The following is a 27,932-nucleotide window of genomic DNA, read 5'->3' on the forward strand; positions in this document are numbered from 1 at the left end:
TTCAACAAGGTCTCACTCTGTCTCCCAGGCTGGAGTACAGTGGTGCATTCATAGCTCACTGCAACCTTGGACTCCTGGGCTCAAGTGATTCCCCAATCTCAGCCACCTGAGTAGCTGGGACTATAGGTGTTAGCCACCACACCTGGCTATTTTTATTTTATTTCTGTAGAGACAAGGTCTTACTATGTTGCCAAGGCTGGTCTTGAATTCCCAATGTTCTCTTTTAGTAGTTTCATAGTTTCAGGTGTCAGATTTAAGTCTTTAAGCCACTTTGATTTGATTTTTTTATATGGTGAGAGATAGGGGTCTAGTTCATTATTCTGCATATAGACATCTAGTTTTCCCAGCACCATTTATTGAAAAGACTGTTCTTTCCCCAATGTATGTTCTTGGCAGCTTTGTCAAAAATGAGTTCATTGCAGATGTGTGGATTCATTTCTGAATTCTCTACTGTTACATTGGTCTATGTGTCTGTTTTTATACCAGTACCATGCTGTTTCGGGTCTCTAGTTCTACAATAAACTTCAAAGTCAGGCAATGTATTTTTCTGGTTTTGTTCTTTTTGTTCAGGATGGATTTGGCTATTCTGGATCTTTTGTGGTTCCATATAAATTTTAGGATAATTTTTTCTATTTCTGTGAAGAATGTTATTGGTATTTTGATAGGGATTGCACTGAATCTGTAGATTGGGTAATATGAACATTTTAACAACATTGATGTTTTTCAATCAATGAACATGGAATATCTTTCTTTTTTTTTTTTTTTTTTTTTTTTTTTTTTTTGAGACAAAGTTTCACTCTTGTTTCCCAGGCTGGAGTGTAATGGCACAATTTTGGTTCACCGCAACCTCCGCCTCCTGGGTTCAAATGATTCTCCTGCCTCAGCCTTCGGAGTAGCTGGGATTACAGGCATGCGCCACCATGCCTGGCTAATATTTTGTATTTTTACTAGAGATGGGGTTTCACCATGTTAGTCAGGCTGGTCTCGAACTCCTGACCTCAGGTGATCTGTTGCAGGAAGTCAGAGACCCTGAACGGAGGGATCTGCCGAAGCCATGACAGAAGAACATAAATTGTGAAGATTTCATGGACATTTATCACTTCCCCAATCAATACTCTTGTAATTTCCTATGCCTGTCTTTACTTTAATCTCTTAATCCTATCATCTTCATAAGCTGAGGATGTATATCGCCTCAGGACCCTGTGATGATTGCATTAACTGCACAAATTGTTCATAAAGCATGTGTGTTTGAACAATGTGAAATCTGGGCACCTTAAGAACAGGATAACAGTGATTCTCAGGGAACAAGGGAGATAACCTTAAAGTCTGGCTGCCTGTGGGCTGGGCTGGACAGAGCCATATTTCTCTTATTACCCAAAATGGGCAAGAGAAATATCGCTGAATTCTTTCCCCAGTGAGGAATATTAATAATTAACAGCCCTGGGAAAAGAATGCATTCCCAGGGAGAGCCTCTAAAATGGCTGCTCTGGGGGTGTCTGTCTTGTGCAGTTGCAGATAAGGGATGAAACACTCCCTGGCCTCCTGCAGCACCCCCAGGCTTGCTAGGATTAGGAAATTCCAGGCTGGCGAATTCTAGTCAGACCGGTTCTCTGCCATTGAACCTGTTAAGATGTTTACAATGACAATGCGTGCACAGCGGGACATGGAACTTCATTAGTAACTCTAGTTTTGCCCTGACCTTGTGATCTCACCCTCACCTTCTGCCTTGTGATCTTTTGTCACCCTTGAAGCATGTGATCTCTGTGACCCACACCCTGTTCGTACACTCCCTCCCCTTTGAAAATTGCTAATAAAAATTTGCTGGTTTTACGGCTCAGGGGGCATCACGGAACCTGCCAACATGTGATGTCTGCCCCGGACACCCAGCTTTAAAATTTCTCTCTTTTGTACTCTTTCCCTTTATTTCTCAGACCGGCCGACTCTTAGGGAAAATAGAAAAGAACCTATGATGAAATATTAGGGGTGGTTCCCCCAATAGTGGTCCACCCACCTCAGCCTTCTAAAGTGCTGGGATTACAGGCGTGAGCCACCACGCCTGGCCTATCTTTCCATTTTTTGTGTGTCCTCTTCCATTCTTTCATATGTGTTTTATAATTTTTATTGTAGAAATATTTCACATGGTGAGCCACCCTGGCATCCCAGGGATGAATTTCACTTGGTTATGATGAATGACCACTTTCATGTGTTGTTGAATTCAGTTTGCTTGTATTTTATTGAGATTTTTTGCATCTATGTTCATCAGAGGTATTGCCCTGTAGTTTTCTTTTTTAGTATGTCTTTGTCTGTTTTTGGTATCAGAGTAATACTGGCCTTATAGAATTCATTTGGAAGTATTCCCTCCTCCTTGATTTTTTTGTAATAGTTTGAGTAGGATTCATTTTAGTTCTTCTTTAAATGTTTGGTAGATTTCAGCAGTAAAGGAATCAGATCCAGGGCTTTTCTTTGCTGGAAAACTTTTTTTTTTTTTTTTCAGACGGAGTCTTGCTCTGTCACCCAGGATGGAGTGTAATGCCACGGTTTCAGCTTACTGCAATCTCTCTGCCTCCTGGCTTCAAGCATTTCTCCTGCCTCAGCCTCCCGAGTAGCTGGGACCACAGGTGCGTGCCACCATGGCTGGCTAATTTTTGTACTTTTAGTAGAGACGGGGTTTCACCATGTTGACCAGGCTGGTCTTGAACTTCTGACCTCAAATGATCCACCTGCTTCGGCCTCCCAAAGTGCTGGGATTACAGGCGTGAGCCACTGTGCCCAGCCTGGAAAACTTTTTACTATCTCTTTGATCTTGTTACTTGTTATTGGTCTATTCCGGTTTTGGATTACTTCATGTTTCAATCTTGTATGTATCTAGGAATTTATCCATTTCTTCTAGGTTTTCCAATTCATTGGCATATAGTTGCTCATAGTGCTTTCTAGTGATCCTTTGAATTTCTGTGGTATCAGTTGTAACATCTCTTTTTAAAATCTCTGATTTCATTTATTTTAGTTTTCTCCCTTTTTTCTTAGCAGGATAAAAGTTTCTCAGTTTGTTTATCTTTTCAAAAAAAATCAGTTTTTCATTTCATTTATTTGTTCATTTATTCTTTTTTTTTTTTTTTTTTTTGAGACAGAGACTTGCTCTGTCTCTGTCACCCAGGCTGGAGTGCAATGGCACAATCTCAGCTCACTCTAACCTCTGCCTTCGGGGTTCAAGTGATTCTCATGCCTCTGCCTCTTAAATAACTGGGATTACAGGTGCACATCACCATGCCCAGCTAATTTTTGTGTTTTTAGTAGAGATTGTGTTTCACCATATTGGCCAGGCTGGTCTTGAACTCCTGAGCTGAAGTGGTCAGCCCTCATTGGCCTCCCAAAGTGCTAGGATTACAGGCATAAGCCACCATGCCCAGCCTGTGTTTTTTTTTTTTTTTTTTAGTTTCACTTTTGTTTATTTATGCTCTGATCTTTATTTTTTTTTCCACTAATTTTGGATTTGGTTTGCTCTTGCTTTTCTAATTATTTAAGATGTATTGTTAATGTATTAGTTTGTTCTCACACTGCTATAAATATACTACCTAAGACTGAGTAATTTATAAGCAAAAGAGGTTTAATTGACTCACAGTTCCACATGGCTGTGGAAGCCTCAAGAAACTTACAATCAGGGTGGAAGGTGAAGGGAAAGCAAGGCACATCTTACATAGAAGTAGGTGAGAGAGAGAGAGTGTGTGTGCAGGGGAAGAGCCACACACTTATCAAACAACCAGTTATCATGAGAATTCTATCACAAGAACAGCAAGCGGTAAGACCACCTCCATGATTCAGTCACCTCCAACCAGGCCACTCCTCTAACATGTGGGGATTACAATTCAAGACAAGATTTGGGTGAGGACACAGAGCCAAACCATATCATTTAGGTTGTTTGATGTGAAGTTTTCCTACCTTTTTTGATGTAGGTGCTTATTGCTATAAACTTTCCTCTTAGTGCTGCTTTTCTTGTATCCTGTATGGGTATGTTGTGTTTCCATTTTCATTTGTTTCAAGAGACTTTTAAATTTCCTTCTTGATTTCTTCATTGACCTGCCGGTCATTCTGGAGCATATTGTTTAATTTCCATGTATTTGTATAGTTTCCAGAGTTCTTTCTATTGATTTCTAGTTTTATTCCATTATGATCTAAGAAGATACTTGATATTATTTCAATTAAAAAAATTTTAAGACTTTGTTTTGTGGCCTAACATATGTTCTATTCTTTAGAATGATCCATGTGCTGAGAAGAATGTGTATTCTGTAGCCATTGGATGAAATGTAAATATCTGTTGTGTCCATTTGGTGTATAGTGCAGATTAATCTGATGTTTCTTTGTTGAGTTTCTGTTTGGATGGTCTGTCCAATGCTGAAAGTGGGTGTTGAGGTCTCTAGCTAATATTGTATTGAAATCTATCTCTCTCTTTAGCTCTGATAATATTTGCTTTATAAATCTGGGTGCTCCAGTGTTGGGTACATATATATTTACAGTTGTTATATCCTCTTGCTCCCTTTATCACTATATAATGACCTTTTTTGTCTTTTTTTATAATTTTTGTCTTGTCTTGAAATATATTTTTTCTGATGTAAGTGTAGCTATTCTTGCTCTTTTTTTGGTTTCCATTTGCATGTAATATCTTTTTTCAACCCTTTGTTTTCAGTCTGTGTGTATCTTTATAGGTAAAGTGAGTTTCTTGTAGCCAGCATATAGTTGGGTCTTTTTTCTTAATTCCTTTAGCCACTCTATGTCTTTTAATTAGAAAGTTCAGACCATTTACATTCTATGTTATTGATAGGTAAGGACTTACAAACTGTTGCCATTTTGTTATTTGTTTCTGGTTGTTTTGTCAGCCTCTCTTCCCTCCTTCCTTTGGTCTTTCTTTGTGTAAAAGTGATTTTCCCTGATAGTATGTTTTAATTTCTTGATTTTTATTTTTCATGTATCTCTGTAGGTTTTTTGATTTGAGGTTACTGTGCAGCTTGCAAATAACATCTTATAACCTATTATTTTATTTTATTTTATTTTATTATTTATTTATTTATTTATTTATTTTTTTAGATGGAGTCTTGCTCTGTTGTCCAGGCTGGAGTGCAGTGGCACGATCTCAGCTCACTGCAAGCTCCGCCTCCTGGGTTCACACCATTCTCCTGCCTCAGCCTCCCAAGTAGCTGGGACTACAGGCGCCCGCCACCACGCCCAGCTAATAACCTATTATTTTAAACTGATAACAACTTAATTCTGATCACAAAAAAACAACAAACAAGCAAAGAGAAAATAAAAACTATCCTTTATCCCCATTTTAAAACTTTTTGTTGTTTCTATTTATATATTTTTATACTATCTCTTGAAAGTCATCATAGTTATTATTTTTGATAGGTTTGTCTTTTAGTCTTCCTATTCAATATATGAGTATGTAACCAATATATGTGTCTTATACATCACAATTACAGTGTTGGGGGTGTTGGGGTATTCTATATGTGTCTGTGTACCCTCTGTTATCAGTGAATTTTAGATGATTGCTTATTGCTTTTTAAAATTCTTTTCTTTCCGGTTGAAGAACTCCCTTTGACATTTCCTGTAGGACAGGTCTGATATTGACAAGCTCTTCCCTCACCTTTTATTTGTGTGGAAGAGTCTTAATCTCTCCTTCATATTTGAAGGGTATTTTTGCTGGATACAATATTCTGAAATAAAAGTTTTATTCTTTCAGCACTTTGCATATGTCATACCACTCTCTCCTGACCTTTAAGGTTTCCACTAAGAAGTCAGCTGCCGGTTGTATTAGAACTCCTTTATATGTTGTTTGTTTCTTTTCTCTTGCTACTTTTAGGACCCTTTCTTTATCCTTGGACTTTGGGAATTTGATGATTAAATGCCTTAAGGTCTTATTTGAGTTAAATCTGCTTGGTGTTCTATAACCTTCTTGTACTTGGATATTTTCTCTAGGTTTGAAAAATTCCATTTCTATTTCTTTGAATAAACTTTCTACCTTCACCTCGCTCTCTACCTCCTATTTTAAGGCCAATAATGCTTAGATTTGCCTATTGAGGCTATTTTCTAGATCTTGTAGGGTTACTTCATTCTTTTTTATTCTCTTTTTATTTTTTCTCTTCTGACTGTATTTTCATATAGCTTGTCTTCAAGCTCACTAATTCTTTCTTCTGCTTAATCAAGTCTGCTATTGAGAGACTGATGCATTTTTCAGTTTGTCAATTGAATTTTTCATCTCTAAAATTTCTGCTTGATCCTTTTAAATTATTCTAATCTCCTTGTTAAATTTCTCTGATAGGGTTTTGAATTTCTTCTCTGTGTTCTCCTGAAGTTCACTGAGCTTCCTCCAAGCAGCTATTTTGAATTCTGTGTCTGAAAGGTCACATATCTTTGTCACTCTGGGATTGGTTACTGATTCTTTGTTTAGTTCATTTGCTGAACTAATATTTTCCTGGATGCTCTTGATGCTTGTGAATGTTCATTAATATCTAGGCATTGATGATTGTGTTAGTCTGTTCTCACACTGCTGTAAATAAATACCTGAGACTTGGTAATTTATTAAGAAAAGGGGTTTAATTGGCTCACAGTTCTGCAAGCTGTACAGGGAGCATGTCTGGGAAGGCCTCAGGAAACTTACAATAATGGTGGAAGGGCAAAGGAGAAGCAAGCATGTCTTCACGGTGGCAGAAAGAGAGAGAGAGAGAGAGTGAAGGAGGATGTGCCACACACTTTTAAACCATCAGATCTCATGAGAACTCACTCACTATCATGAGAGCAGCAAGGGGGAAATCCACTCCCATGATCCAATCACCTCCCACCAGGTCCCTCCCCTAACAGTGGGAATCACAATCCAACATGAGATTTGGGTGGGGACACAGAGCCAAACCATATCAATGAGTTAGGTGTTTATTCTAATCTTTGCAGTCTGGGCTTGTTTGTACCTGTCCTTGTTAAGAAGGCTTTTCAGATTCAAAGGGAATTGAGTGCTGTGATCTAAGTCTTTGGTCACTGCAGTCTTATCTGTACTAGAAGGTATCCCAAGCCCTCTATCTGTACATGGAATGGGTGGATGGATGGATAGTATGAGTCTCTTGAAGACTCATAGAGGTACCGCCTTCATGGACTTGGGTGAGATCTGGAAGAATTCCCTGGATTACCAGGCAGAATCTCTCATTATCTTCCCTCATTTTCCCTAAAAGGAGTCTCTTTCTCTGTGCTGGGCTGTCTAGAGTTGGAGAATGGGTGATGTAAGCACTACTATGGCCACCATAGGTAGGACTGCACTGGGTCACACCCAAATTCAGCACAGTACTGGGTCTCATCCAAGGCCCTTGGCAACTACTGCCTGGCTACTGCTGATGCTTATTCAAGACCCAAAGGCTCTTTCCTCAGCAGGTGGTGAATTTTGCCAAGACTAGGTCCTTCTCTTTAGGGCAGCATGTTTTCTTCTAGCCTAGGGTGAGTCTAGAAATGCCATCCAGAAGCTAGGGCCTAAATTCAGGGGCTTCAGGAATCTGCTAAGTGCCTTATTTTACTGTGGCTGTGCTAGTACCCAAGTTGCAGGACAAAGTCCTCTTTACCCTTCCCTCTCTTTTTTGCAAGTGGATGGACTCTCTCCCAGAGCTGCACTGCCTGGAATTTGGGGAGGGGTGATGCAAGCACTCCCTTGGCCAGTACAACTGGTGTCTCACTGGGTCACATGTACCCCAAGTTCACAGGCTCTGAGCCCATTGCAGTACCAGGACTTGCCCAGGGACTGCAGTCCTTGTGGCTAAGACTGCCTTTCAAATATATTTAGGACCCCAGTCCACTTAAGTCAGCAGGCAGCAAAGCTGGCCAGAACTCAGTTTCCTATTGCTAGGGCAGACAATTCCTCTCTGGCCAAAACTGATCTAAATGCTCCCTCCATGGGCATTAGCCGAATTCATCTCTGTGTTGCTTTTGGCTGTGACAGGGCAGCAGGGAGTTCCAGTGCAGAATCCCATGATCACTTCATTCTCCCTCCCCTGAGCACACAAATTCTCTTTTGGCACATGACACTGCCAGGGGATGGGGAAGGGATGGTTAGGCCAGTGGTCCCCCGCCTTTTTGGCACCAGGAACCAGTTTCATGGAACACAATTTTTCCACGGACCAATATGGAGGGGATGGGGATGGTTTCATGGTGATTCAAGTGTATTATATTTATTGCGTAGTTTATTTATGTTATTATTACATTGTAATATATAATGAAATAATTATACAATTCACCATAATGTAGAATCAGAGGGAGCCCTGGGCTTGTCCTCCTGCAACTAGACAGTCCTATCTGAGGGTGATGGGAGACAGTGATAGATAATCAGGCATTAGATTCTCATAAGGAGCATACAATGTAGATACCTTGCATGCACGGCTCACAATAGGGTTCACATTCCTATGAAAACCAAATGCCGCTGCTGATCTGACAGGATGCACAGATCACGTGGTAATGCTCACTAGTCCACCGCTATGTGGCCCAGTTCCTAACAGGTCATGGCCCAGTACTATCTTTTTTTTTTTTTTTTTTTTTTTTTTTTTTTTGTGGAGTTGTGGGGGGTAATTATTTTATTTTACTTTTTAAATTTAAATTGTTTAATATTAAATGAACATGGCCACATTATAAACATTGAAAACTAAAGGAAACAAAGGTACTAAATGCTAACATAACTATTTCTACTTTAATATATCTCTTTTTACATAATGTATATTCAAATATATACTGTATATGCAGTGTTATAACTCAACAATGTATTATAAGCATTTATGTGTTATCACAAAGCCCTCATAACCACTGTTTCAATAGCTGCATCATATTCTGTTGGTTAAATATAGCAAAACTTATTTAAATAGTCTCCTATGGAATATATAGGTATGTGGTCTAAGGGTTGGGGACCCCTGGTTTGGGCAATGCAAGACTGTCTTTCCTGCCCTCTTCAGTACCTTTTTCCTTGATATGATATTAAACCCAGTACTGTGATTGCTCACCTGATTTTGAGTTCTTATGAAGGGACTTTCTTGAATAGATAGTTGTTGAATTTGGTGTTCCTCCAGAGGGATGATCACTGGAGTGTTTTATGCAGCCATCTTGCCCTGCCTCCTCCCAGCTTCAAAAAATCCCTACCTCTTCTCAACTTCTCCCTTGGTCACCATCAATTCTAGGCTTCTTTCTGTTACCTGAGCCCTATTTGCCCCTAGATCCTACAGTCTTAATGGACCACCTCCCAACCCCCACCCCCACCAGAGCACACTCAGATAATGAATCTGGTTTCTCAACTAGACCCCCACCTCGTCTCTAGACTGATCCTCCTCACCAGATCCCACCCTCACCCAGGAAATCAACCTTTCACCCAACTTGATTCCCCCGTGAATTCTACTGAATCATTTGCCTGGCAACCCACCCCCACCAATCCTCTTGCTATGGTTTGGCTGTGTCCTCACCCAAATCTCATCTTGAATTCCCACATGTTGTGCGAGGGGCCCAGTGGGAGGTAATTGAATCACCAGGGCAGGTCTTTCCCATGCTGTTCTCATGATAGTGAATAAGTCTCATGAGATCTGATGGTATTATAAGGGGGAGTTCCCTGCACAAGTGCTCTGTTTGCCTGCCACCATCCACATAAAATGTGACTTGATCCTCCTTGCCTTCTACCATGATTGTGAGGCCTCCCCAGCCATGTGGAACTGTAAGTTCATTAAACCTCTTTCTTTTGTAAATTGCCCAGTCTCAGGTATGTCTTTATCAGCAGCGTGAAAACGGACTAATATACCTGTCTACTGCATGACTATCAGACACCTGCATAACTCTGACTCAATCTGACTTAATTCCTGTCCAACTCTATATTGTCCTAGAGAACTCATGTCCACATAACACCTGTTGGTTGGCCTCTTCTGTCCCCACAATCTCAGGCTTCAACCACTCAATTCTGCCCAGTTCATTCTTCTTCTGGTAACAGGCATCTGCCCAGGACTTGTTCCTCCCCACCTGATCACACTGATTTCTAGCAAGAGCTTCTTTTCTTCCATCCATAAGAGGCTTCTCTCTGAGGAAATCCTGAAATAGTTGTGTGGAGACCAGTAGCTTCTTTCTCCCCAGCCATGAAAGCCAGGAGCTCCTGGAGACACAAGTCACAAAGACAGAGTAGTTCACAACGTCCACTAATAGTAATAGCAACTGACTATCAGAATATGTCAAAGCTCAATGGACTTTTTTGACTCACCCATTACAAATGATGTGATCATTTACATAAGTAGTTTTTTCTGAGAGAGGGTCTCACTCTGTCACCCAGGCTGGAGTGCAGTGGTATGGTCACAGCTCGCTGCAGCCTTGACCTCCCCAGGCTCAGGTAATCCTCCTGCCTCAGCCTTCCAAGTAGCTGGGACTACAAGTGCATGCCACCACACCTGGCTAATTTTTTAAATATTTTGTAGAGACGGGGTGTATTAGTACATTTTCATGCTGCTGATAAAGACATACTGAGACTGGGTAACTTATAAAGAAAAAGAGGTTTAATGGACTCACAGTTCCATGTGATTGGGGAGGCCTCACAATCATGGTAGAAGGTGAAAGGCACGTCTTACATGGCAGCAAGCAAGAGAGAAAGATGAGAGCCAAGTGAAAAGGGAAACCCCTTATAAAACCATCAGATCTTGTGACACTTATTCACTACCAATAGAACAGTATGGAAGAATCCACCCCCATCATTCAATTATCTCCCACCAGCTCCCTCCAACAACATGTGGGAATTATGGGAGCTACAATTCAAGATGAGATTTGGGTGGGGACACAGCCAAACCATATCGTGGGGTTTCACCATGTTGCCCAGGCTGGTCTCCTGATCTCAAGCTATCTGCCCATCTTGGCCTTCCAAAGTGCTGGGATTACAGGCATGAGCCACTTGCAGCCAGCCCACGAAAACATTTTTTAAGTTAGAAGAGAAATTCTTGCACCCCGATAAAAGCGGGAGCATTTGAGGAAATGTGGTTGGGACTTCTGGGGCTCTCCATCCTCATAGCTGGGGACTGAATCCCAGGCTTGGATAGAAGACTCCTTCCCAAAGAGATGACTCTGGCAGCAGCAATGTTTTCTCCTCCCCTCTGCTGTCCAGCTCAGCCTGGGGCCTGAGGTTGAGCTTGTGAGACTAGCCTTTACCCACTGGCAAGGAGAAATACAGCCCTGTTGGGTAGGGGTCCCCCAGCTCCATCCAGCTCAGCCCACTCTCCACAGGCTTCAAAGCAGGTAAACTTCTATCCTGGAGCAGGTGAAATGGAAAGAAAACAGGAGCAAGAGATTATTATTATATATTACATTGCAGGACACCTTTTCTGAACTTAGGATTTCAGGCTGTCTGCTCACCACCTGTTCTGGCTAATGTGCTGTTTAAATAAATGGATGAATGGATGGATGAACAGATAGATGGATGGGTGGATGCAGAGATGGATGGGTGGATGGATAGATGGATGGATGGATAGATGAGTGGGTGGGTAGGTAGATAAATGGGTGGGTGGATGGGTGGATGGATGGATGGATGGATGGATGGATGGATGGATGGATGGATGGTGTGATATACTTTTTAAGTGCTGTCCGGAGCCAGCTTTGAGGCCAGGACTAGGGGCCAGTAAGTTCTTTTCTTGAGCAGGTGATTAAGTCCACACTCCCAACAACCGCCCTTGTTGGGGTCTCATACTTGGGGCCATTATCCACCTGTGCTAATCAGTCCATGGCCAGGTACCACACAACCAGGGATAGTCCTATACCCAGAGCCCACTGAACTTATTCAAATGAGCCAATCTTAAGCCTGCTTACCCTGCTTCTCCCACTCCTTTCTGCAGAAACCACAACAAAGGTGCTTGCCCATGGCTCCTCGCTTCCCTCTGCCTCATGACTGATGCCAATTATTCCCCTTGTGGCCCCCTGTGGTGTGACATGTACTCCCTCTCCGGGGATCCGTGAGTATAGAAAATTATCTTTTCATTGGCAGTCATCTCCTAATCTGTTGGCCTTACCCTACCTAAATAATAATAAAAGCTACTCAAACAAATGGATAGCTTGATGGATGGATGGATAGATAGATAGATAGATAGATAGATAGATAGATAGATAGATAACAGATGGATGGATGGATAGATAGATACATAGATAGATAGATAGATAGATAGATAGATAGATAGATAGATAGATAGATAGAAACATGAGAGAATAAACACTTAAGTAAGGAAACAAGCAGCTATAGTGACTGCTCCTGTAACACAGTATGGCCCTAACAGCAGCCACAGGGCACACCCCTCTTCCCAATGCACCTATATCCTTATCACCCCAGCACTTCACCCTCATGCTGGGGCTCTGGCCCAGACTCACTGGGATGTGGGAACAAAATGGTAGGTTCTTACAAAAGGAACTTTTTCCTCCTGAAATGAATGCCTCCCTAGGCTCAGTCAGAGCAGGACTTGCAGGAAGGGAGGTAAAGAGCAGCTGGGGCTTCTCACCTGACTCAGGGCCCTGCAGGAAGAGAGGAGCACAACACACCTCTCAGCTTTTGTTTTGTCCACTTCGGAAATTTCTAGCTGGTGTGTTTAACCTAATCAATCAGAATCTTGGTGCCTTGATAAATATGTTTCTCACGGTTCAATGTTCCCATGGGTTTGTGGCATCATATTCAACCTCAGAAATATAGATCTGGGCATGGTGGCTCACACCTGTACTCCCAGCACTTTGGGAGGCCAAGGCAGGCAGATCACTTGAGGTCAGGAGTTCAAGATCAGACTGGGCAACATGGTGAAACCCTGTCTCTACTAAAAATACAAAAATTAGCTGAATGTGATGACAGGTGCCTGTAGTCCCAGCTATTTGGGAGGCAGAGGCATGAGAATTGCTTGAACCTGGGAGGCAGAGGTTGCAGTGAGCCGAGATAGTGCCACTGTACTCCAGCCTAGGTGACAGAGCAAGACTCTGTCTAAAAAAAAAAGAAATTCAGACAAGAGGGTCAATAATTTCTCAGGGAGAATTCAACCCTTCTAAAAGAGTAGACCCTAAATTCCAGGTTCCTGTTGGGATGTTAAAGTATTTATTTTACACTGTACCTCATTAAGTTCTCCCTCTTTAGTCTGCAGTCATGCTCACTGAACTTTTTTTTTTTGAAAGTTAAATTCTGTTTGTCTTGCTCAGTCAGTCTCCTGCTTTGAAGAGTTCTTACTTTTGGTTACAGTTGTCCCCAAACTGTCAGTTTGTCACTTATACTCACATCTCATTTATTGCTTTCTCACACCCTCTGGTTCAGAAATTTGGGGGGCCACTGGCAGGGGGTGTTGCTTTTATTAAGTCATTTTCTATATTTACAATGTTAATTTGGTAAAATCTGTCTGAATGTAGAGCCTTGACTTAGCACAATTGCAAGAAACTGCCTTCTCAAGATGAGAGTATAGAATAGAACTTGGAAAGGGCCCTTGCCCAAAACATCTCCCTATCACTCTGCCAAGGGGTGACATTCCACAATCAGAAGTATAGTTATTTAAATAAGTTTTTTGAGATCTATTGTACAGCATGGTGGCAATAGCTAATAATAATGTAATATATATTTCAAAATTGCTAAGAGAGCAGATTTTAAATGTTCATAGTATGAAAGAGTGATAAGTATATAAGGTGATGGATATGTTAATTAGCCTGATTTAATCATTCCATAATATACATATGTCATCATTCCATAATATACAATATACATATGTCACATTGTACCACATAAGTAGATACATTTACTATTTGTCAATTAAAAATAAAATAAGTTAAGGCTTTGAGTCTTTAAAATCCCCTAGGAAGGGGCAACTCTTCAGAAAAGAGCGAGGTCTGAGCCACTAACTATCCGAGATGCTCAGGCCAACATTTCAGTCTGATGGGGTTGGGGAAGGAAGTGGGAGTGTGGGGTCCTTGCAAAGCAGCAGCCTAGAGGAGCACAGAGGAGATCCACCAGGGAGGAAGCCCCATTTGGGTGTATGAGGGCTAGAGGTGCAGGGCAGATGGGACCTAGAAGGGCACATTCTGCTGACTTAAGGCAGAGTATGAGTTAGGATCATTTTCGTGCTATAAGATAAGCAGTCCCTGAATCTCTTCTCATGGTTTATAGCCAGAATTCACTGGCTAACTGAGCCAGCCTTCACCACTCTGCTGTCACAGCCCGAATCCATTTCCTGTACCTCCCCAATCATTTCAGAGAATTGCAGTCAGCCACAAGATAATAGCTGCACACAGCAATGGCATTTATACCTACAATAAACTATAAGATAAGACTTCCTTTACAAGTCCATACTAGGCTTGTTCCTGACTTGATTTTAGGGAGAAACTATTGAGTAGTTCAACATAAGTAAGACGTTAGCTGACATTTTTGTTGGTGTCCTTTATCAGATAGAGAGGTTTTTTTCTCTTTCTGGATTGCTAAGAAGTTTTCTTTTTTTTTTTTTTTTTAAATCATGGATGCATATTAGATATCGCCAAATGCTTTTTCTGTATTCTGAATTTTAAGTCAACCTTAAATTACTGGAGTAAACTCCACTCGGTATTGAATAATTATCTTTCTTATATATTGCTAGATTTAGCTTGCTAAGATTTTGTTAAGAATTCTGATGGATATTGGTCTTTGACTTTCTTTTCTGTTTTTCTTTTCTTGCAATTTAGCCGCATCCCACTAATTTGGGTATATTATGTTTTCATTATTATACAATTTGTATAATAATTGTATAATAAATAATTTCATTTTTATACAATTTGAAATATTTTTGGCCAGGCATGGTGGCTCACGTCTGTAATCCCAGCACAGGAAACGGAGGTGGGCGCATCACATGAGGTCAGGAGTTCAAGACCAGCCTGGCCAACATGGTGAAGCCTCATCTCTACTAAAAAAACAAATTACAAAAATTAGCCAGGCATGATGGCGGGTGCCTGTAATCCCAGCTACTCGAGAGGCTGAGGTGGGAGAATCGCTTGAACCTGGTAGGCGGAGGTTGCAGTTAGCCAAGATCGCATCCCTGCACTCCTTTCTGGGCCACAGAGCAAGACTCCATCTCCAAAAAAAAAAAAAAAAAAAAAAAAGAAGAAGAAGAAGAAATATTTTCTACTTTGCTTTGTGATTCCTTCTCTGACTCATGGGTTGTTTCAAAGTATGTTGTTTTGTTTTCAGATATTTAGGGATTTTATAGATATTTTAACATTTTTACTCTCTTTTTTTTTTTTTTTTCGGGCAGTGTCTCACTCTGTTGCCCAGGCTGGAGTGCAGTGGCATAATCCTAGCTCGCTGCAACCTGAAATTCCTGGGCTCAAGCAATCCTCCTGCTTTAGCCTCCCAAGAATCTAAAACTACAGGCCTACCACCAGGCCGGCTACTGAAAAAAAATTTTTTGTAGAGATGGGGTCTCATTATGTTGCTCAAGCTGGTCTTAAATTCCCAGCCTCAAGCAATCCTCCCGCCTCAGCCTCCCAAAGTGCTGAGATTACAGACATGAGCCAATGAGCCTGGCCATTTGCTCTTAAATTTAATACTCTTGTGGTTACAGAACATCTCTGGTAAGATTTTAATCTTTGAAATTTATTGAGACTTGTTTGATGGCACAGATTTGGTCTATCTGAGGGAACTTTCCATGTATTCATGCACAGAATGCCTATTTTTTTGTTATTTACTTGAATGGCTATAAATGTCAATTAGGTCAACATGCTTGACAGTATCTTACAGGTCTTCTAGATCAGCACTGTCCAAAAGAAATGTAATGTCAGCCACATATGTAATTTTAAATTTTCTAGTAGCCACAATCAGTGACGAAAAAAGAAACAGGTGAAATTAATTGTAATAATACGTTTTATTTAAGCCCAAATATCCAAATAGCATTTTAACATGTAATCAACATAAAATTACTTATTTTATTTTATTTTTTTGGAAACAGAATCTCGTTCTGTCACCCAGGCTGGAGTGCAGTGGTGCGATCTTGGCTCACTGCAACCTCCGCCTCCTGGGTTCAAGCAATTCTCGTGCCTCAGCCTCCCGAGTAGCTGGAATTAAAGGTGCGCACCACCATGCCCAGCTAATTTTTTGTATTTTTAGTAGAGACAGGGTTTCACCATGTTGCCCAGGCTGGTCTCGAACTCCTGAGCTCAGGCAGTCCACCCTCCTTGGCCTCCCAAAGTGCTAGGATTACAGGTGTGAGCCACCATGCCCAGCCTGTAATCAACATAAAATTATGAATAAAATATTTTACATTATTGTTTTCATTTTAACTCTTTGAAAATCAGTGTGAACTTTTCATCTCCCAGCAAACCTCACTTTAGACTAATCATGTTTCAAGAGCACAATAGCCGCTTGTGGCTCTAGTGGCTATCATATCAACAGCAGAGTTCTAGATCCTCACCAATTTTTTTCCTTTTATTTTATTCCATCAAGTGCTTAAAGAGGGATGTTAAAATCTTCAACTATGATTGTGGATTTGCCTATTTATCCCTTTATTTTTGTCAGTTTTGCCTCATTTATTTGGTACATATGCGATCAAGTAGGCTTCATCCCTGGAATGCAACGTCAGTTCAACAGACACAAATCAATAAATGGGATTCATCATGTAACAGAACTAAAGACAAAAACCACATGATTATCTCAATAGATGCAGAAAATGCTTTCAATAAAATTACACATCCATTCATGATAAAACAAAACTCTCAATAAACTAGGTATTGGGGAACATACCTCAAAATAATAAGAGCCATCAATGGCAAACCCACAGCCAACATCATACTGACTGGGCAAAAGCCAGAAGCATTCCCCTTGAAAACTGACACAAGACAAGGATACCCTCTCTCACTACTCCTATTCAACATGGTATTGGAAGTTCTGGCCAGGGTAATTAGGCAAGAGAAAGAAATAAAGAGCATCTAAATAAAAAGAGAGGAAGTCAAACTATCCCTGTTTGTAGATGACATGATCCTATTTTACAAAGCCCCGTAATCTCAGCCCAAAAGCTTCTTAAGCCGATTAACAACTTCACCAAAGTCTCAGGATACAAAATCAATGTGCAAAAATCACTGCTTGATCGTGGTGAATAGGCTTTTTGATGTGCTGCTGGATTTGGTTTGCCAGAATTTTGCTGAGGATTTTTGCATCAATGTTCTTCAAGGATATTGGCCTGAAGTTTTCTTATTTTGTTGTATCTCTGCCAGGTTTTGTATCAAAATGATGTTAGCCTCATAGAATTAGTTAGGGAGGAGTCCCTCCTCCTCAGTTACATTCACATATGGCACAGGAGAACCAAGATATGCTCTAGTGGATCTTCTGAGCCCCAGGCATAGTTATCCATGCCTCCATTAGTAAAAAGAACTCTTGTCTTCTTGAATCTTCTCTAAAGGGTTACTAGAATAAGACCTCGTCTTTGCCTGCTATTCCAACAGCACAAGAGCCCCCAAATAATCAGATGGCAGCCATAGTTTAGGTTCAGTGAGTTACTGGGTCCCTTGGTAGATATGTTCTCTACTATCATCCTCCATGCCTCTGCCCCTAGAAGCCAGATCCTTCAGACCAACCCAACTTAGTGTTACAGAGACTGGAAACAAAAATATCTCTAGTGGCTCACTGGGAGTGATGCTGAGAGATGTCCCAACTATTTCCAATACTTCATTTCTAGAACCATATATACTCTACCTATTGAGGACCTACCATAAAATGGCCGTTGGTTCCAAGTTGTGGAAACAAACAACGACCCCTTGTTCGAGAAGCAGGAAAAAGGTGCCTTTAAAAGTATGAAAGGTGTGGTGGCTCATACCTGTAATCCCAGCACTTTGGGAGGCCAAGGCGGGTGGGTCACTTGAGGTCAGGAGTTCAAGACCAGCCTGGCCAACATGGTGAAACCCCATCTCTACTAAAAATACAACAATTACCTGGGCATGGTGGCAAGTGTCTGTAATTCCAGCTACTCGGGAGGCTAAGGCAGGAGAATTGCTGGAACCCAGGAGGCAGAGGTTGCAGTGAGCCGAGATCACATCACTGTACTCCAGCCTGAACGACACAGCTAGACTCTATCTCAAAATAAATAAATGAATAAATAAATAGATAAATTTTTAAAAATATAATAAATAAATAAATCTTATTGGAATTTGTTGGCTTGAGGTCCCTGGAAGCATTTTGGGTCTCTGGCCAGAAACCAACCAATTCAGCAATTGTGGTATGTCTGGTGCCCCAGTGTCAGGAGAACAGAGAGAGTAAAAGAACAATGGGGTTTGGTTCCATTCTCTTAGAGCTGCAGCTGCACAAAATTAAAAGGGAATTCCCCTACTCCAGTGGTTTGGCTTTTGCTGCTGCCATCACCCCTGCCAAAGGGTTTTTTATGGACCAGAGCATGAGAGAATGGAGAAAAAGTAGAACAAAAATATGTGGGATTTTTATCTGTGGCATTTTTCTATTTGGCCCCTTAATTCAGAACTAGAAAGTTTTCCTCAATGTTTTTCTGTCTCTACTCAGTTCTCACTTCTGGGTTTGAGATGCTTAGAGTTCATGCAGGGGAATACTAGAGGGAAAAATAAGGGTAAATTCATCGCCAGTTTGGTGGTATTCTCATATCAAATTCTGATGTTTTTCCCTGATAATCCTGCTGATATTTATTTGTTGGAGTTTTTAAACAGCTGCCCATGCATTTGTCCAGATTTTATAGTTGTATTTAGTGTAAGAGAAAAGTAGTCATGTGTTTGCTCCATGTTATCCAGAACTAGAACCCTTCCCTTAATATCATAACTTCAAAATATAGAAAGCAAAGCTTACCAGAACTAAAAGGGAGAATGGAAACTTTTAAAATTATAGTTGGAAACCTTAATACCCTCCTCTCAACAAGTGTTAGACAAACATTTAGTAAAAATAAAAGATGGAGATGATATAATTAGTTGACCATCCTATTTTTACTTACACAGGGCACTACATCCAGCAACCACAGAATGCACATTCATTTCAAGTGCACACACAAGATAAAAAGCAAATTCCAGGCTGAGAAAAGATAGTTACGAAGTATGTATCAGATAAGGAATTCATATCCAGAATATATAAAGTAATCCTAAAAAGCAATTGGGAGGCTGAGGTGGGCGGATCACCTGAGGTCAGGAGTTCGAGACCAGCCAGACCAACATGGAGAAACCCCACCTCTACTAAAAATACAAAAATAGCCAAGCATAGTCACACATGCCTCTAATCCCAGCTACTCGGGAGGCTGAGGCAGGAGAATCGCTTGAACCTGGGAGGCGGAGGTTGCGGTGAGCTGAGATCGCGCCATTGCACTCCAGCCTGGGCAACAAAAGCAAAAACTCCATCTCAAAAAAAAAAAAAAAAAGAAAAAGAAAAAGAAACCACTAAAAATTGGTAAGAGATTTTAAAGGCACAAAGCAAAAGAAGATATCCAAATGGCCAATAACTAAAACTAAGACTAATAACTAAATAAATAAAACTAATAACTAAAACTAAGACTGACAATAGCAACTGTTGGAGAAGTATGAAGTAACTGGAACTCTTCATACTTTGTTAGTAAGAGTGTAAACTGGTAAGACCACATGGGAAAACTTTTTGGTAGTTTATTTGTTAAAAATTTTTATTCATTTATTTTTAATTAGGTTTTTTTTTTTTTTTGAGACAGAGTTGCACTCTTGTTGCCCAGGCTGGAGTACAATGGCATGATCTCGGCTCACTGCAACCTCCACCTCCCAGGTTCAAGCGATTCTCCTGCCTCAGCCTCCCAAGTCACTGGGATTACAGGCATGTGCTACCACGCTCGGCTAATTTTTGTATTATTAGTAGAGACGGGGTTTCACCATGTTGGCCAGGCTGGTCTCGAACTCCTGACCTCGTGATCCGCCTGCCTCAGCCTCCCAAATTGCTGAGATTACAGGCATGAGCCACCACCACGCTGGCCTTTTAAAAATTTTTTTGAGATGGACCTTGTCCTGTCGCCCAGGCTGGAGTGCAGCGGCATGATCTCAGCTCACTGCAACCTCCACCTCCCAGGTTCAAGCAATTCTCCTGCCTCAGCCTCCCGAGTAGCTGGGATTACAGGCGTGCACCACCATGTATGGGTAATTTTTGTATTTGTATTTTTAGTAGAGACGGGATTTCACCATGTTGGCCAGGCTGGTCTCGAACTCCTGACCTCAGGTGATCTCCCCACCTTGGCCTTCAACTAAAGTGCTGGGAATACAGGCATGAGCCACTGTTCCCGGCCTGGTAGTTTCTTATGAAATTAAACAGACATCTACCCTATGACCCAACAACTCTATTCATGAGAATTTACTCAAGAGAAATAAAAGCATGTATCTACAAAAAGACTTGTAACAAAAACGTTCATAGTGGCTTTATTTTTAAAAACCAAAAAATGTCTGTCAACCTAAGGGATAAACAAATTGTAGTGTGTTCATACGATGGAATACTACTCAATCATAAAATGAACCAACCACTGATCCATGCAACAGCATGCATCTCACAGGCATTATGTTAAACAAAAAAAGCCAGGCCAAAACAGTATAAACTGTATGACTGTATTTATATAACAGGCAAAACTAATCTATGGTAATACATGTTGGAATATTGGTTACCTTTGAGTGGAGGGCCACATTGCCTGGGAAGCGGCATGAGGCAACCTTCTGTAGTTATGGAAATGTTTTTTATTTCGTTACAGATATTGTATTTTTTAGTTCTGGAATTGCCACTTGATTGCCATCTCTATTTCTATGTTGAGATTTTACTACCTTTTCATTCATTAGAAGTTTAATTTCCTTTATTTCTTGAGCATACTAACATACTTATAATATTTAAAGTCCTTGCCTGCCATTTCTAACATCTGGGTCATCTTGGGGTTGGTCCCTCCTTGTTGATTTCTCTCTTGATCATGGGTCACATTTTCCTGCTTCTTATATGTCATATGTAAGTAATTTGGGATTGTAGCTTGGACATTGTGAAGGTTATATTATAAATACTTTGGATTATGTTAAATTTATCTGAAAGTTATTGATTTGTTTGTTGTAGCAAAAATTGATCTGGGAAGGAAGGAAGGAAGGAAGGAAGGGAGAGAAAGAGAGAGTGAGAAAGAAAGAAAGAAAGAGCCAAACTGAACTTCTAGAATTTAAAAATTCACTGCAGGAATATCAAAATACAGTTGGAAGCCTTAAGAACAGACTAAACCAAGCTGAGGAAAGAATTTTAGAGGTCAAAGACTGGTCCTTTGAATTAATCCAGTCATATAAAAATAAAGAAAAAAGAATTTTTTAAAAATGAACCAGACCTCCAAGAGATAAGGGATTAAAAAAGACCAAACCTACACTTCATTGGCATTCCCGAGAGACAGTAAGCAGCTTAGAAAATGTATTTGAGGATATAGCCTGTGAAAATTTCCCCAGTCTTGCTAGAGAGGTCAACATGCAAATTCAAGAAATTTGGAGAACTCCTGTGAGATACTACACAAGATGACCATTCCCAAGACACAAAATCATTAGACTTTCCAAGTTCAATGTGAAAGAAAAATCTTAAAGACAGCTAGAGATAAGGGTGAGATCTCTTACAAAGGGAACCCCATTGGGTTATCAGCAGACTTTTCAGCAGAAATCTTACAAGCCAGAAGAGATCTGGGGCCTGTTTTCAGTATCCCTAAAGAAAATAAATTCCAATAAAGAATTTAGATATACAATCATGTCATCTGCAAACAGGGACAATTTGACTTCCTCTTTTCCTAATTGAATACCCTTTATTTCCTTCTCCTGCCTGATGGCCCTGGCCAGAACTTCCAACACTATGTTGAATAGGAGTGGTGAGAGAGGGCATCCCTGTCTTGTGCCCGTTTTCAAAGGGAATACTTCCAGTTTTTGCCCATTCAGTATGATATTGGCTGTGGGATTGTCATAGATAGCTCTTATTATTTTGAGATATGTCCCATGAATACCTAATTTATTGAGAGTTTTTAGTATGAAGGGTTCTTGAATTTTGTCAGAGGCCTTTTCTGCATCTATTGAGATAATCATGTGGTTTTTGTCTTTGGTTCTGTTTATATGCTGGATTACATTTATTGATTTGCGTATGTTGAACCAGCCTTGCATCCCAGGGATGAAGCCCACTTGATCATGGTGGATAAGCTTTTCGATGTGCTGCTGGATTCGGTTTGCCAGTATTTTATTGAGGATTTTTGCATCGATGTTCATCAAGGATATTGGTCTAAAATTCTCTTTTTTTGTTGTGTCTCTGCCAGGCTTTGGTATCAGGATGATGCTGGCCTCATAAAATGAGTTAGGCAGGATTCCCTCTTTTTCTATTGATTGGAATAGTTTCAGAAGGAATGGTACCAGCTCCTCTTTGTACCTCTGGTAGAATTCGGCTGTGAATCTATCTGGTCCTGCACTTTTTTTGGTTGGTAAGCTATTGATTATTGCCTCAATTTCAGAGCCTGTTATTGGTCTATTCAGAGATTCAACTTCTTCCTGGTTTAGTCTTGGGAGGATGTATGTGTCGAGGAATTTATCCATTTCTTCTAGATTTTCTAGTTTATTTGTGTAGAGGTGTTTATAGTATTCTCTGATGGTAGTTTGTATTTCTGTGGGATCAGTGGTGATATCCCCTTTATCATTTTGTATTGCGTCTATTTGATTCTTCTCTCTTTTCTTCGTTATTAGTCTTGCTAGTGGTCTATCAATTTCGTTTATCTTTTCAAAAAACCAGCTCCTGGATTCATTAATTTTTTGAAGGGTTTTTTGTGTCTCTATTTCCTTCAGTTCTGCTCTGATCTTAGTTATTTCTTGCCTTCTGCTAGCTTTTGAATGTGTTTGCTCTTGCTTTTCTAGTTCTTTTAATTGTGATGTTAGGGTGTCAATTTTAGATCTTTCCTGCTTTCTGTTGTGGGCATTTAGTGCTATAAATTTCCCTCTATACACTGCTTTGAATGTGTCCCAGAGATTCTGGTATGTTGTGTCTTTGTTCTCGTTGGTTTCAAAGAACATCTTTATTTCTGCCTTCATTTCATTATTTACCCTGTAGTCACTCAGGAGCAGGTTGTTCAGTTTCCATGTAGTTGAGCGGTTTTGAGTGAGTTTCTTAATCCTGAGTTCTAGTTTGATTGCACTGTGGTCTGAGAGACAGTTTGTTATAATTTCTGTTCTTTTACATTTGCTGAGGAGAGCTTTACTTCCAACTATGTGGTCAATTTTGGAGTAGGTGTGGTGCTGAAAAGAATGTATATTCTGTTGATTTGGGGTGGAGAGTTCTGTAGATGTCTATTAGGTACGCTTGGTGCAGAGCTGAGTTCAATTCCTGGGTATCCTTGTTAACTTTCTGTCTCGTTGATCTGTCTAATGTTGACAGTGGGGTGTTAAAGTCTCCCATTATTATTGTGTGGGAGTCTAAGTCTCTTTGTAGGTCACTCAGGACTTGCTTTATGAATCTGGGTGCTCCTGTATTGGGTGCATATATATTTAGGATAGTTAGCTCTTCTTGTTGAATTGATCCCTTCACCAAACCCCATCGTCTCAGCCCAAAATCTCCTCAAGCTGATAAGCAGCTTCAGCAAAGTCTCAGGATACAAAATCAGTGTACAAAAATCACAAGCATTCTTATACACCAATAACAGACAAACAGAGAGTCAAATCATGAGTGAACTCCCATTCACAATTGCTTCAAAGAGAATAAAATACCTAGGAATCCAACTTACAAGGGACGTGAAGGACCTCTTCAAGGAGAACTACAAACCACTGCTCAATGAAATAAAAGAGGATACAAACAAATGGAAGAACATTCCATGCTCATGGGTAGGAAGAATCAATATCGTGAAAATGGCCATACTGCCCAAGGTAATTTATAGATTCAATGCCATCCCCATCAAGCTACCAATGACTTTCTTCACAGAATTGGAAAAAACTACTTTAAAGTTCATATGGAACCAAAAAAGTGCCTGCATTGCCAAGTCAATCCTAAGCCAAAAGAACAAAGCTGGAGGCATCACGCTACCTGACTTCAAACTATACTACAAGGCTACAGTAACCAAAACAGCATGGTACTGGTACCAAAACAGAGATATAGATCAATGGAACAGAACAGAGCCCTCAGAAATAATGCCACATATCTACAACCATCTGATCTTTGACAAACCTGACAAAACAAGAAATGGGGAAACAATTCCCTATTTAATAAATGGTGCTGGGAAAACTGGCTAGCCGTATGTAGAAAGCTGAAACTGGATCCCTTCCTTACATCTTACACAAAAATTAATTCAAGATGGATTAAAGACTTAAATGTTTGACCTAAAACCATAAAAACCCTAGAAGAAAACCTAGGCAATACCATTCAGGACATAGGCATGGGCAAGGACTTCATGTCTAAAACACCAAAAGCAATGGCAACAAAAGCCAAAATTGACAAATGGGATCTAATTAAACTAAAGAGCTTCTGCACAGCAAAAGAAACTACCATCAGAGTGAACAGGCAATCTACGGAATGGGAGAAAATTTTTGCAATCTACCCATCTGATAAAGGGCTAATATCCAGGATCTACAATGAACTCAAACAAATTTGCAAGAAAAAAAAAAAAACCCCATCAAAAAGTGGGTGAAGGATATGAACAGACACTTCTCCAAAGAAGACATTTATGCAGCCAAAAGACACACAAAAAAATGCTCATCATCACTGGCCATCAGAGAAATGCAAATCAAAACCACAATGAGATACCATCTCACACCAGTAAGAATGGCGATCATTAAAAAGTCAGGCAACAACAGGTGCTGGAGAGGATGTGGAGAAATAGGAACACTTTTACACTGTTGGTGGGACTGTAAACTAGTTCAACCATTGTGGAAGTCAGTGTGGCGATTCCTCAGGGATCTAGAACTAGAAATGCCATTTGACCCAGCCATCCCATTACGGGGTATATACCCAAAGGATTATAAATCATGCTGCTATAAAGACACATGCACACATATGTTTATAGCGGCACTATTCACAATAGCAAAGACTTGGAACCAACCTAAATGTCCAGCAACGATAGACTGGATTAAGAAAATGGCACATATACACCATGGAATACTATGCAGCCATAAAAAATGATGAGTTCATGTCCTTTGTAGGGACATGGATGAAGCTGGAAACCATCATTCTCAGCAAACTATCGCAAGGACAAAAAACCAAACACTGCATGTTCTCGCTCATAGGTGGGAATTGAACAATGAGAACACCTGGACACAGGAAGGGGAACATCACACACCGGGGACTGTTGTGGGGTGGGGGGAGTGGGGGGGGAGGGATAGCATTAGGAGATATACCTAATGCTAAATGACGAGTTAATGGGTGCAGCACACCAACATGGCACATGTATACATATGTAACTAACCTGCACATTGTGCACATGTACCCTAAAACTTAAAGTATAGTAATAATAAAATAAAAAAATGAAAATAAAAATAAAATTTAAAAAAAGAAGTAAAAACCTCACAGCAGCTTATGTTAATTTTTCAAACAAAAAATCATTTATTCACAAGTTACACAAAATATTTTTTTTACTGTTTACCTGACATCTAAAGTAAAAGCAGAATAAAATAAACTTCTCACCAATAGTTAAAAAAAAAAAGAATATTCTGCCGAACTAAACTTCATATATGAAGGAGAAATGAAATCTTTTTCAGATAAGCAAATGCTAAAGAAATTTGTTACTTCTAGACCAGCCTTACACGAGGTCCTTAAGGGAGTTCTAAACATGGAAACAAAGGAATGATACCTGCCAGCACAAAAACACAGTTAAGCCCAGAAACATACGTAGCCTAGAGATCCTCTAAAGCAACTACATAATTGAGGCTACAAAGCAATCAGCTAAGAGCATCATGACAAGATCAAACCTCACATATCAATATTAACCTTTTGTTAATTGTCTAAAATGCCCCACTTAAAAGGCACAGAGTGGCAAGTTGGATAAGTAAACAAAACCCAACAGTCTACTGTCTTCAAGAGACTCATCTCACATGTAACAACACCCATAGGCTCAAAATAAAGGAATGGAAAAAGGTCTATCACACAAATGGAAAACTAAAAAGAGCAGGAGTCTTTATATATTCTGTTATATCAGATAGAACAGACTTTAAACCAACAACAGTAAGAAAGGACAAAGAAGGAAATTACATAATGATAAAGGATTCAATTCCACAAGAAGACCTAACTATTCTAAATATATTTGCACTCAACATTGGAGCACCTAGATTCATTAAAAAGTACTTCTAGACCTACAAAAAGACTTAGAGAGCCAGACAATAATAGTAGGGTACTTCAACACCCCCGCTGATAGCATTAAACAAATCACCAAGGCAGAAAACTAGCAAAGAAATTCTGGACTTAAAACTACACTTGACCAATTGGACCTAACATCAATCTAGAGAATACTCTGTCCAAAATCACAGAATACACATTTTTCTTGTTTGCACGCAGAACATACTCTTAAGACCAACCACATCAGCCATAAAGCAAGCCTCATAAAATTAAAAAAGAATCAAAATCTGTCCAGGTGCGGTGGCTTACACCTGTAATCCCAGCACTTTGGGAGGCTGAGGTGGGTGGATCACATGAGGCCAGGAGTTTGAGAACAGTCTGGCCAACATGGCAAAACCCCATCTCTACTAAAAATACAAATATTAGCCAGGTGTGGTGGCACATGCCTGGAGCCCCCGCTACTTGGGAGGCTGAGGCACAAGAATCACTTGAACCCAGGAGGTGGAGGTTGCAGTGAGCCAAGATTGCACCACTGCACTCCATCCGGGGTTATAGAGTCTTCAAAAAAAAAAAAGAATCAAAATCATATGAAGCATACTCTCAGACCACAGTGGAATAAAAATGAAATCAATACCAAGAAGATCTCAAAAGCACACCATTACATGGAAATTAAATAACTGCTCCTGAATGACTTTTGGGCAGATAATGAAATTAAGGCAGAAATAAAACAAATTCTTTGAAATTAATGAAAACAGAGATACAACATACCAAAATCTCTAGGATGCAGCAAAAGCAGTTTAAGAGGAAAAATTGTAGTGCTAAGTGCCTACATTAAGAAGTTAGAAAGATCTCAAATTAATAATCTAACATCACACCTAGAGGAACTAGAGATACAAGAACAAACAAACCCCAAAGCTAGCAGAAGAAATCACTAAAGCCAGAGCAGAATGGAATGAAATTGAGACCAAAAATCCATAAAAAAGATCAACAAAAGCTTGAAAGCTTGAAACCTTGAAAGGAAACGTTGGTTCCTTGAAAGGATAAACATGACTGATGAACTTCAAAAGTAACCTTGGTTCCTTCAAAGGATAAACATGATTGATGAACCACTAGCTAGATTAACAAAGAGAAAAAAAAGATCCAAATAAGCACAATTAGAAATGACAAAGGTGACATTACAACTGATCCCACAGAAATACAAAAGATACTCAGAGACCATTATGAACAAATCTATGCACATCAATTAGAACATCTAGAGGAAATAGATAAATTCCTGGAAACACACAACCTCCCAAGATTGAATTGGAAATAAAATGAAACCCTGAACAGACCGATAATGAGTTCTGAAATTGAATTAGTAATAAAAGAAAAAAAAACATAACAACCAAAAAATTCCCTGGCCCAGATGGATTCACAATCAAATTCTACCAGACATACAAATCCTCAACAAACTAGGCATTGAAGGAACATACCTCAAAATACTAAGAGCCATCACTGATGAACTCACAGCCAACATCATACTGAATAGGCAAAAGTGGGAAGCATTCCCCTTGAGAACTGGATCAAGACAAGTGTGCCCACTCTCACCACTCCTACTCAACATAGTACCAGAAGTCCTAGCCAGAGCAATCAGGCAAGATAAATAAATAAAAGGCACTCAAATAGGAAAAGAAGAGGCCAAACTATC

The sequence above is a fragment of the Homo sapiens genome, chromosome 2, assembly GCF_000001405.40.
Source record: "Homo sapiens chromosome 2, GRCh38.p14 Primary Assembly".
Classification (NCBI taxonomy): Eukaryota; Metazoa; Chordata; class Mammalia; order Primates; family Hominidae; genus Homo; species Homo sapiens.